Source organism: Homo sapiens, chromosome 2 (assembly GCF_000001405.40).
Source record: "Homo sapiens chromosome 2, GRCh38.p14 Primary Assembly".
Lineage (NCBI taxonomy): Eukaryota > Metazoa > Chordata > Mammalia > Primates > Hominidae > Homo > Homo sapiens.
The window spans coordinates 99,829,982-99,842,783 of record NC_000002.12 but is presented as its reverse complement, the minus strand read 5'-3'; the positions used below and the strand labels follow the sequence as shown (position 1 = coordinate 99,842,783).

The 12,802-nt window shown below is 42.6% G+C and overlaps 1 protein-coding gene across 20 annotated transcripts in view; it reads left to right on the top strand.

Moving 5' to 3' along the window:
* The window catches only part of AFF3 (ALF transcription elongation factor 3), a 597,172-nt gene that overhangs the window by 299,807 nt on the left and 284,563 nt on the right, over window positions 1-12,802 (top strand). For all 20 annotated transcript variants that reach the window (NM_002285.3, XM_047444286.1, NM_001386135.1 and 17 more), the window contains one exon: window positions 5,260-5,307. In NM_002285.3, coding sequence (NP_002276.2) covers window positions 5,260-5,307 — 48 coding nt within the window. The remainder of the gene's footprint in view (window positions 1-5,259; window positions 5,308-12,802) is intronic.

Below are 12,802 nucleotides of genomic sequence, written 5' to 3'. Positions count from 1 at the left end.
GGGACTTCCACCATCAGGGATGGGATGCTCCTGGCTATTCCCCGAGCTACACTTACCCACAGCATAGTTCTGTACATTTCTTGGCAGTGTGCGGCATGTACATTTAAATGGTAGGATTTAGGGAAATCACATGCTAGACAGTGCTGTAGAAGAGGAGAATCAGCTGGGGTTGCTAGCTCTTAATTGAAGTTTAGTTGGAGGTTCAATGAGGTGAGACTGTTATGACAGATTTCAAAATGTAATGATAGGAAAATGAGGTGGGTTCCTCAAAGTTGGAGTAAATACGGAGCAACAGCTCAGCAACTCAGCATGAAACAACAGCTACAAACCGTCAAAAAATACAGAGTAATTAAAATGTGCATTGTGCAGCCTTCCTTCTCAGTGGGTACCTTTCCAAGGAAAGCAATAACTTTATTGTGAAAAATATAAACACGAATTTGGAGATGTAAATTACATGCATATTTTAATCTTGTTGATAAACATGGAAAGTTTTCAAAATGTAAATATAATCAAAGTAAGCACACAACTGCAGCTGAAACCAGATTTGAGAAAGACCTCAAGAAGGTAAACGTACCCCAGATCCCCCAACCCCAACCCTACCTATCTACCTACGCTTTCTGTAATTTGGAAAAGATAAGGTGGAATTCCATCCTCCTACTTCTAAGGACACAAACCCTTACCCCTTATTTTTTAATGTCACAGAAGGGGTAGTAGATTTGACTTTTTCTCTCTACTTCCCCTCTCCTCTCTTCCCCCTTTGGTCTACACGTGTAGTGTTGGAGATTAGCTAGTGAGAGGCAATGATCAAGCGCTGAGTAATGTGCCACGTGGAAAAGGAGGAGGAAATTTACCCCAATACTATCTGCATTCTTTTATTTTCATACTGTGAGCATGCAAGTTACCTCAGCATGAGCCAGCTCTAGGGATTGAGCTGCAGGAAGACAGCATGAGATAGTAGAGAACTCAATGAGCTGGTGTTGAAATGTGAGTGGATTCTGCCTCAACTGTGTCTTGCTGTCAGAATGATTTTTGGACAGAGCCCTTCACTTCTCTGAGCCATGGCATCTCCATCTGTTAAAGTCATTGACTTGGGCTGAAAGGAGCTCCAAAGTTCTTTCCCATTCAGATTTTCTACGATACTGTGGCCCATGGATTCACTCCAATCTAAATGGGGTCCTGGAGATTCAAACCAATGTGGTACTCTTCTTGAGTCCCCAGAACATTTCTCAGTGTTCTGAAAAGACTCAAGAGGTTCCTCTGCCAAAGACTGTCCATGCTGTAATTTAAGGCCAGGACTTCCTGAGACTGTTGTTAGAAGTCCCTCACCCTGGCCTCACCTCTGCCGCCTCCTTAGCTTTACAAAGGGCCTTCCTAGTAGGGAATGACCTGATGTCTGTCCAGACCATCAAGGCTTCTGGTTGGAGCTGCCTTAGAGATGACTTAGTGTAAAGATCCTACATCTATGTCTCCAGTGATGAGAGAAGTATCTAATAGGGCATCTATCCTGCATTTCTCTCTCAGCGCATTTCCTTATCAGAGTAGAATAGTTGAAATGTATAGGATTATAAGGGAGATAGTTATAAAAGCAACCTGTCATTTATATAAACTACATCAAAGGAAATTAAAGTGTGATATTCAGGGAAGCTTAGCTTTAAGGAATTAAACCCGAAGTTTAATTTTAAGAGTATTTGTAGTGTGCTGTTATATCTGGGTGATTCCACCAGGAGGACCTGAGGTCAAGTTTTTCTTGATTAATTGTTTTGTGGTAGAAAACAGAAAGCACATTGAGAATTCAGCATTTGCCCTGCCAGCATATTATGCAGTAGGAAATGGTTGGGACTTAGAAGTAGGATAAGAGTCATGATTAATGATATTCTGTAGGTTTGACGGTACATTTTCTAATTCAGACCACTCATTCCCACCATGAACGCCAAAGGAAATCCTTCCAAGTGACCATCAAGCCCCCCGGCCCGACTGAGACTTTCCTATATAACCTTTGTGATGGTCACCTCAGGCTTCCCTGGAAAAGGATCAGGTTCCAAAAGAGCTCTCTGATCCAGTTGTATCAGAGTGTCAGAATGGTGATGTTTCCAGAGCAGTCCTGTGGTAAGGAATTGGGAATGGGAGTGAAAGCTTGTAATAAGTATGTGGCCAACTGAAGCTTTTGGGAAAACAGAAGGAAGGATGAGTATAGGAAAGGGTGTGAAGTATTAGTGAAAGCATTGGTGTCATGATATTGAACACTATTTTTCTTGGCTTATAAGGATAAGCCAAGTAGTGCATGTTGTCTTCATGCACTACTAGTAGCAGTGGCTGTGCCTTGCACATTTTGTTGTTGGTCTTTTAATGATGAGACTAGAATGAAGCAAAAAGATAACATTCCTGTTTTAACGAAAATTCACCAAATAATCCACAAGAAAATAAACTTCACCTAAAAGTTCCCAGACGATTGTATCAAAGACCTATACAAAAGAGCTAAAACTGTCTGTAAAACTCTTGAAAGAAAACAAACATAAAGGGAAATTTTCATGGCTTGAATTTAGCAATGGTTTCTTAGATATGATACTCAAAAGCTCAAACAGCAGAAGAAAAAAACGGGTAAATTGGACTTCATCAAAATTAAAGTTTTGTGCATCCATGAACACTACCAAGAGCGTGAAAAAACAACCCAAAGAATGGAACAAAATATTTGTAAATCATATATCTGCTAAGAGTCTTCTGATATCCAGAATATACAAAGCACTCCTATAATAAAACAATAAAAAGGCAACCCAATTACAACATGGGCAAAGTGCTTGAATAAACATTTCTCCAAAGAAGATAAACAAATGTTCAGTAAACACAAGATGCTCAGCATCATTAGTCATTAAGAAAATGCAGATCTGGTGGCTCACGCCTGTAATCCCAGCACTTTGGGAGGCTGAGGCGGACAGATCACAAGGTCAGGAGTTCAAGACCAGCCTGGCTAACATAGTGAAACCCCAACTCTACTAAAAATAAAAAAATTAGCCGGGCATGGTGATACATGCCTGTAGTTTCAGCTACTCGGGTGACTGAGGCCAGAGAATCACTTGAACCTGGGAGGCGGAGCTTGCAGTGAGCCAATATCGCGCCACTGCACTCCAGCCTGGGTGACAGAGCGAGGCTCCGTCTCAAAAAAAAAAAAGAAAGAAAGAAAAAAAAGAAAATGCAGATCAAAGCCACAATGAGACATCATTTCTTATCCACTAGGATAGCTATTATAAAGTAGAGTAAAATAGCAAGTATTGGTGAAAATGTGGAGAAATTAGAATCCTCATGCATTGATGGTGGGAATGTAAAATGGTACAGCCAATGTGGAAAACAATTTGACAGTTCCTCAAAAAGTTAAAACAGGCCAGGCACGGTGGCTCATGCCTGTAATCCCAGCACTTTGGGAGGCCGAGGCGAGGGGATCACCTGAAGTCAGGAGTTTGAGACCAGCCTGGCCAAGATGGTGAAACCCCATCTCTACTAAAAATACAAAAATTAGCTGGGCATGGTGGTGGGAGCCTGTAATCCCAGCTACTCGAGAGGCTGAGGCAGAAGAATCGCCTGAACCCAGGAGGTAGAGGTTGCAGTAATCCAAGGTCGCGCCATTGCACTCCAGCCTGGGCAACAAGAGCGAAACTCGGTCTCAAAAAAAAAAGTTAAAACAGAGATTACCATATGGTAACTCTGTGTGGCCTTCGGCAAGTTGTGTAAACTTTCTGGGCCTCAGGTGGGAGACTTGGATAAATCCCCTAATTCTGGGTAGGAGAAGGTCTCAATCATGTGTGTGACCTTTTCAAGCCTCACATACCTTCCTTCAGCCTGGCGCCTAACTCAAGTGAAGGGTAGAGTGTTTCAAAGGAAATGCTCTACCCCAGGACAAGGAATGAGCTGGCAGACACAGGGCATGGAGAGTGTGATGGAACGGTCACTGGTAGAGCCTTCATAATATTTTTTAAAGTCCTAGTGCTGATTCTGATGAGCCTCATGCCCCTCAGAACTGCAGGAAGTAAACTCATTCATTTATTCATACACCTACCACCAGCCAATAGTTATTGGGGGTGCCCCATGCTGTGTGGAGCACGGTGCTGGAAGACAGGGAGCCCTGGAATCCAGGGAGCTGATGTTTTAGAGGGAGGAGATATTGCTGGAGACTTCACTATTGAATTGCCGTCGTGGTGAGGGCTTTGAAGAAGTGGAGGCTGCTGGGGGCAAGCACTCTAGGGTCAGGGTGGCTGCTCGGAGGAAGCTGTGGATAAGCTGCTGTTCGAAGGATGACTTAACTAGGAATTAACTAGGAAATTAACTAGAAAAACCAGGAAAGGTGCAGATAGCATTCTTGGTAGAGAGAGAACAGTGAGGAGGAAGGGAGAGTGGCCTTGGAGAAGAGACTGTGGAGAAAAGCCTCATTCCAGGATGTCACAGTGACATCTACTCTCAGGTTGACATCCTTGAATTGCAGGACGAAGAGAAGTGATCTCCCTGAGACCACAGGTAGGCACTTTCACCAGCGTCCACTGCTTCTGTGTCCCCACAAACCCACATCCTGCACTCTTGGCTGTGTAGCCAGCAGGACCCACACAGCATCTCTGGAACTTAAAATGCTCCCCAGAGTCGGCTGTGACCTGAAGCCACTGCACCTCGGAACATCTGCACAGCACAGGGCAGGCTGAGTGACAGAACAAGTGACTTGAGCGTGACGCCCCACATGCCAGTCCAACATCCAGAGGATGTTTCTCTTTTTGGTCTTTCAGTTTTCTGCCTATCAAACCAGTAAACCAAGGCTTTGAGGACGGTGGAACTACCAGACTTTTACTTAAGCCGTAGCAACCATTGTGGTACTTGGTAGGCCCACGGCATATATTTGGTGGATAAATTGGATCCACTGTTGTAGCGGAGGCCACAGTTTCCACACGTTAATGGCACCCAAGGTGGATGGAGCTCATACCTGCAGGTCACGTTCTGTACCCCTAGGAGCCCACCCCACTTAAAGTAGGGTGGTTGGAGGGGCCACAGTTGAGCCTCTGGGGTGCGTGTGTGGTGCTCCAGCCAGAGAAGGGGGAGCAGCAGCCACAATGGGAGCCGGCTGTTAGGGAAAGGAGCCTGTCTGCCAGTCCCAGGTCAGGCATCCCCTCAACCTGTAACTCGCTGAATTTTTTTGTTGGGGGGGACTAATTTGGAACCTTGCATGTCTTCTGTGTGGTCATCAATCTATTCCATCAGGCTTAATTTTTTTTTCTTTGCTTTCAGGAGAGTAGATCTGGAGAAACCAACAGCTGTGTTGAAGAAATAATCCGGGTAAGATTATTCTTTAAACAGTCTTATCAATCTGTGGGACATAGACTCTAAATAGAAAGGAAACCTGCGGCTCCATGATAAAGGAGCCCATAGTCTGTGGTTTGACATTTACCTTTTCTGAGAGTAGTCACATAAGTTTTTGAAACAACACTTCTGTTAACAATCTAGGAGCTGCACCCCCTCTGGGCACCTCTGCACAGGCTGAGGTGACACCCTATTAAAGTGATCAGCTGGAAGACAGAAGAACAGAATTTAGATGAAAAATATGCTGGTGCTCACATGTGGATGCCCCATTTATCACCCTGCTATTTAAAAGCATCCTTTAATAGTCTGTACATTTTTTTGAGTCAGGCAGGGGTTGCCTGGTTATTTTTCCTGTAAACTTAATTGGAATCAGAAGCACTTGACAAAGAGGTAATGTTCAGGATCTGGAACTGTTATTTCTCTATTGTTTCACATGTTATTTTCCCTGTCACCCTCTGTGAGCCCGTCCTTTTCATCACCGTTGTGTCTAGTGTGGGTTCCCTCCCTGAACCAGTTTCGTGCCCAGATTGACTTAGGTTGGGCTGTTCCACCACATCAGTGTTTTCCCAAATATTCAGACATATAATCAGGATGTCGTCATCAACCCATATTTTTTCTTCACTCATATTTTTTCAGGGGAGTTACCTAATAATTTATAGTTCTCAAAAAGCTGATACTACACTGGGCAAAACACCAAGACAAATTAGGCCAGATGGTATGAATTTTACTGTAAAAAAAAAAACACTTTATTTTAATTTAATATGGTCCTTTCTTTTGGATATCCTACACACTTTTTTTTAATTGCTAGTGAGTTACAGTAATACAATTACTTGGGTTAAAATTTTACATTAACAACTATTTTAAAAGGCCAGATGTTTTTCTTTCTGGAAAGCATTATTTCATAAATAAATCTAAGTCTCAAGTTGACCAGAATAACTAATTGAGATGTGATTTGTTGAATTCATAATGATTTTTTTTCTGGCAGAGATTTATAGAGAAAGCAATTGTCAAAACAGGCAGCTTCATTTCTGGTATATAAGTATATGTTAAATAAAATACATAGTATATTTTATATCTATATTGTCTCTATTCTGGGGCTTTGTTTCCAGTTAAAGAACAATCAACCTAAGATGCTGATATAACTTTTCCTATTTTTCTCTTTCAACATACTTTCATATTTGCAGTTCACATATTCCATTTTTAAGCCATCTTCCTTTAACTGGTTATAGTGTTTATGTCCACAAAAGGATAATACTAGAACACACCAATCCCCTCTTTGGTTTCCCTAAGTAGAAAAAGTCTACCTTCTTATTCTCTCTTGGCCCTTCTGAGGATATGGAAGAAATCCATCCTTTGACCTTCCTATTCTGTTCTCCATACAAGGCTTGAAGTTTGAATAAAGACTTGAGTAATTCACACACCAAAAGGATAGAGTTTAGGTAAAGCAAAATTCAATTTGAATAAAACTGAGTGTCACAATCAAAAGCTCATTCAGCTTTATAGTTATTGTTTTCTAAAGAGAGCTGATGAGAGCCTCATGCCCCTCTCGCCCCAGTCCTCCCCTCCCTCCCACCGCCAGTGCTGCACCTGTGCCACAACACTCTTTGGATGAGGCCTGAAACAAAGAGAGAACGTGGACCCACCGGATCACAGATTTGTGTCCATATGCAAGGCTGAAGTCTGCATGTGTGTGCGAGAGGGCAGTGGAGGTGGTGGCTGGATTAGGAGGCAACTGAGCTCCAAATTCCACTCTTCCTAGCCTATGAGCAGCAGTCAGGAGGGGAGGTGGGATGGACGAGGAGGAAAGAGAGATGATGGTGGCGCTAGTTGAGCCTGGAGCTTTTTACTCTCTCTCCCTACTTGTCAGCCTAAGGCGTTAGTAGTAGTAGTTGGTATTTGGGGAGCTCCTAGGGGATCGCATTAGTGTTCCCAGTGTTTCCTGGAATGGCTTTCTGTCTATGCCTGCCTCACTGACATTAGTCATTCTCCAAGATCCTCTACCCCTCTTCACCTCCAAACGCAAGCACCAGGACTCTTGGTTACCGCCCATAGTATTTATTGTGTATCTGTGACACACCAGGCTTCCTCCAAGATTGTGGCTCCAAGGAGAGGGAAAGGCAGAATAGTTGGTGAGCAGGTAGATAAAGCTAAGCAGGAGAGGCAGACAGAGCTAGGTCGTAGATCCTATAAGATGCGGATCAGCTGAGCATTTGAGCAGAGTGATGTGATCACATTAGCAGTTTAAATGCACCACTCTGGCTGCTATGGAGAGGGATCCACCGGGAAAAGGAGAAGCAAGAGGGAGTGGGAGGCTATTGCAGGAGTCCAGCCCAGAGATGCTTGGTGGTGCGCTTACGGCCATGGGAAACATTAGGGAAGATCCTGGTTTGCGGGAAGGGCGGAAATCATAAATTCATTTTTGAGCATGGTGAGTTTGGCGTGCCTTTGGGACATTCAAGTAAACACAGAGAACATAGAACAACATATTGGAGGTCAGGAGGTCAGAGCAGAGGTCTGAGGTGTTGGACCAACATTTTGGATTAATTAGCATGCCATTGGTAATAACACCGTAGAAATAGGTAAATTTTTCTGGAGAGAGACTGGAGACCGAGGAACATTGAGAATCTAAATTCTGACTTTTAGAGACTAAGGGAAGGAATAGCCGCTGGCAAGTGGAAGTGAGAGAGAGTGACAAGAAAAGTGAAGGGAAAATTATGACAGTGAAAAGTCATGGAATCCAAGGAATGAGATTCAAGCTCAGTGGTGTTCAGAGTTTCTGAGAGGACGAGAAAGATGAGGATCTAAAACCACACAATGGATTAGACCACAGAAACGTTGCTGGTGACCTTTGCAAGTGCCCTTTTGGTGGAGTAGAGGGGGCAGAAGCCAAACTCGAGAAAACAGAAAATGCAGTCAGTGAATTTAGAGACTTCTTGGGAGGAAAGGCTGTAACTTCCCTTCAGCTCCCTTTCCAATTGCAATACGTCCCTCATACAATAACAACCACCAAGTGATGAAGAGCTGACGTTGACTGAGGATGCATTATGTGTGAGGCACAGTTCTAAGCTGTGATTTAACCCTCACAGCTGCTTCATGAGGTAGGCATTGGTAACATTCCCATTTTACAGATGAGGAAACTGAAGTGAAGAGAAGTTAAACACAACTTGCCCAAGGTCACACAGCTAGCAAGTGGTAGAGCTGGGATTCTAATGAAGACGCCTTGCACAGCAACCTCTCTTAACATTGTACTGACTTACTAGATGAAGACGTCCCCCTGGCTCATTAACGAAACCAGTCAGGCAATTCATTGTGAATGGGAGGTTTCCCGTTTCTACCTGTTTATGATTCGGAAGTGCCAGATCATGCATTTATGCACTTAAATTCAGAGGTTTTATAGCCAGTGTTATCAACCTCATCTTTAACTTCTTCCTCTCTCCTTATTTTTGCTGAGGTGACTGTTTTCAAGTCATTTGAATATTACGTTGTGTTCTAACATATAATTATTTTTTATCCTTACTCCGAGAGTTTTATTCCTGGGACCTAATAAATCTGTGTGTTATTGCAAAATTCTCTTAACTGAGGGAGAAATTAAAACAGAGTTCTGTGAGGATGGGCGATCAGGGCTAGAAGGCTTCATGGCTGACATATGTTTGTAACAGGCAGTTTTCCAAGTTACACTCTATTTTATCCTTAAATGTTCCAGTGCTGTAATACTTAGGTGCTTTTCATAGCATTATCCATTAACGTAGAATGGCATTAACATTTGTTCAGCAAATAAAATTGGTTTATAACTTAATGGGTGGGGGTGCTGGGCTGGAATCTAGGATGTACAGTTTTTATGCAAGACAGCTTTACATGGCATTTGTTGAAGACACTCATAACATAGAGTGCCTTTGTAATAAGAGATCAGTGTTTGAGATTCTGGTTTGGACTTAAGGAATGAATTTAGAGACAATTTCAGTGTAACATCTGAGCAGATTACTTTCTTGCTCTCATCATCTTTAGCACTAATTTAATTCCAGTGTGCTGCAAAATATTCTTAAGGAATATTTACATAGAGTTGCATTTTCTGTTTATCTGAAGGGGGTAAGTAGTACTTGTTTAAATTTTGGAGACCTCAGCCAGTTTCCTGACATTATAGTGGAACAAACTTGAGGCAAATAAAGGGAACTCATTTTTTCCTTGGTTTTCCAGAAACTCAGGAGCATCCTGGATGGGATGATTTCCAGTTGTGGTCCTGGGAGATTTGTGAGTTGAGGGCACTGACTTGGGAAATGCACATCATGATAGCCCCTCACATGTACAGACCCCGGATGGTGGGACAAGAGAAGCCTTGTGCTCACAAATGTCAATCAAATGAAAACATACTTGCCATTCTCTGCCTACTGGAAGGTAGAGAACAAAGAGATAACTTGTTTTCAGTGACCTATTTGGGTCATTTGCAGAGCTGGACCTAGGTCAAATCTTCCCTGCTTCAGACCAGGCAGGCTTTTTTTTCTAGCTCATACTGTTTCCTTTATAAGTTATTTCATTTGTTTCCAAGAGCAAAGATTTCATCATTAGTGATGAAATGAAGCCCACCAATGGCAAAATCAATCCAGGTGTAACTGTAGAGGTGCGCCATTAATATATCCCATTACTTGCTGTAGCAAAATAAACTCAAAACAAAAGTCAGCCCGATGGAGGGCTAGAGAAATTCACTGAGAAAAACCTACAATAAGTCTAGCCAAGATAAGTTAGTTGACTTGGTAGTCCTGTGTTTTCGTTTTGCATTTAGCCATCTGAACGGTTAGGGACAGAAATACCACACTTTTATATCTCATTTTATATCTGTGAGATTAATTGTTCATAAATGCTATTATGCTAATCCTTTGGGGTGAAACCAAAAGCCCTTCCTAAAGGGCTCCACTTCTACCTGCTAAGGGCACCCTGGTGCCTGCAAGCTGTGGCCAACAGCTTGCCACTATGTTGCAGGGCCCTGTGACTACAATCTGTGGACTTGGCAGTGACTCTGGAGGTGTTCATTTTCTAGCAGAGGTGGGACAAGAGACCACCTTAATTCAGAATCTGTTCTGAGCCCGGAGGCTTTGGGGTGATGGGTAAAGGAATACTGGAAGTCCAGAAGCTCCTGTTGAGAATGAACAGCTTCGCCCTTTGATACTTACCTGTTTCATTTTGATGCACGTCATTAGAAATCACAAAGTTGTTTGCAGAACCATATGCCTAGAAGATGAAGGGCATGTTAGCAGCCCAAGCATCTAAAAGTCTGTGAGATTATAACTTCTGCCCTAACAGTAAAAAGCGGGTTCTGATACTGCAGTCAATATCTTTTCACGGGGCGTTTGTCAATATTTTATGCAAAGGTTTCATAGTTTCTTGGAGATACTTGGAGAACTTCAGCACTACACTAGAGGACTGACGCAAGTACGTCAAATGTAGATGTACTCAGTACCTTTGAACAGCTGCCACATGCAGAAGGCACTGAGCGGGTGGGATTAGTGAGTTACAGGAGGAATGCAGAGGAGAAAACAAATAGAGGTGTGCTTCTTTCAACAGCAGTATGTCCTTGAAAGGTGGTTTGCAGAGAGTCCAGCCCCAGCAACACAAAACAAGAGGGTAGAAGGGTGGGATTGGAGCTGAGAGATAACAACCTTACTGGCCTCGTATGTGTGTGGGCCATTGGACTACACATTGTCATCCATATAGTCCGTTCACATTTTCATAACATCTTTATAGTTTTTTCTTCTTTATATTTTAGTGAGCATTTTCAAAAAATAAGGGCTTAAATGTGAATCACATAGAACAATAAGTGCAAATTCTTATCTTTATCCATGAATGAGGTTTTCGATTGCAGTGTTTTTTAATTGTACAGAGTTGAAAAGGTTAATACATGTCAAATCATAGTATCTATCAGTACCTTCAAATGTGTAAATTCCCCAAACACTTAACTTATTTTCAATCTGGGTTTCATTTGAGTGTTCTTCTCCGACAGTGAAATGCTAGTGTTCAGTACTAGCCAGCTAACCTGGTTTATGTCATTTGTTAACTTTATTTAAGAGAACCAATGCAATTTTATTTTTTCTTTCTTGTTCCCATACTTAATATCACCATACGTATTCATCAGACTTTGAAAACTTACTGGAGATGAGAACTGAAGATTACTTTTATAGTTATTGTATTTTAAGGCATTTAAAAGGATTTTTAGAATGCTAATTAAGAAGCATACAGCAGATGCTCAAATAACATCATTTCATTCAACTTTGTTTTGTTATAAGGTTGATGAGAAAAAAACCCAATTCCCATCCGGGGCCACCATGTGTGGAGCCTGTACATTGTCCCCAAGTCTGTGCGGGTTTTCTCTGGGACTCCAGTTTCCTCTCACATCCCAAAGATGTGCCCTTTAGGTTCACTGGCATGTCTTCACAGTCCTAGTGTCAGTGAGTGTGGGTGTGTGTGAGCGTGCCTTGCCAGGGGCTGTCTGGCATCCTGGCCAGGGCTGGTGCCTGCCTTTCTCCAGCCACCCACCCCACTGAACTAGGATAAGTGGCCTGAAAATGAATGAATGAATAGAAATGATTCTAACATACAAATCTTCAAGTCTACAATAGTCATACAGATGCACAACAATAAACAGCATGGTATGAAAGCACTAGGTGAGCAGGTCCTGTTGTGATTGTCTTTGTTTTATTTTGTTTTTGTTTTTGTTTTTGTCTTTTTTGAGACAAAGTCTCACTCTGTCACCCAGGCTGGTGTACAGTGGCACAATCTCGGCCTCCTTGGTTCAAGCAATTCTCCTGCCTCAGCCTCCCGAGTAGCTGGGTTACAGTCACCCGCCACCACACCCAGCTAATTTTTGTATTTTTAGTACAGAAGGGTTTTCACCATGTTGGCCAGGCTGTTCTTGAACTCCTGACCTCACATGATCCACCTGTCTCGGCCTCCCAAAGTGCTGGGATTACAGGCATGAGCCACCGGGCCTGGCCCGTGATTATCTTTAAACTTCGTGGCAGGAGGAGGTGCTCCTTACAATTTTTGCTTTGCAGACATTTATTCTTTGATGGAAACCACCACCACTGCAACTGCAGTCACTCACTGATTCACCTAGAATGGTGTAAGTAATTATCTTACTTGGTTTCTTGTTTTTTTATTTTTATTTTTATTTTTTTTTTACTTTAAGCTCTGGGATACATGTGCAGAATGTGCAGGTTTGTTACATAGGTATGCATGTACCATGTTGGTTTGCTGCACCAATCAACTGGTCATCTAGGTTTTGAGCCCTGCATGCACTAGGTATTTGTCCTAATGCTCTCCCTCCCTTGCCCTCCACCCTCTGATAGGCCCTGGTGTGTGATGTTCCCCTCCTTGTGTCCATGTGTTCTCATTGTTCAACTCCCACTTATAAGTGAGAACATGCAGTGTTTGGTTTTCTGTTCTTGTGTTAGTTTGCTGAGAATGGTGGCTTCATCTATGT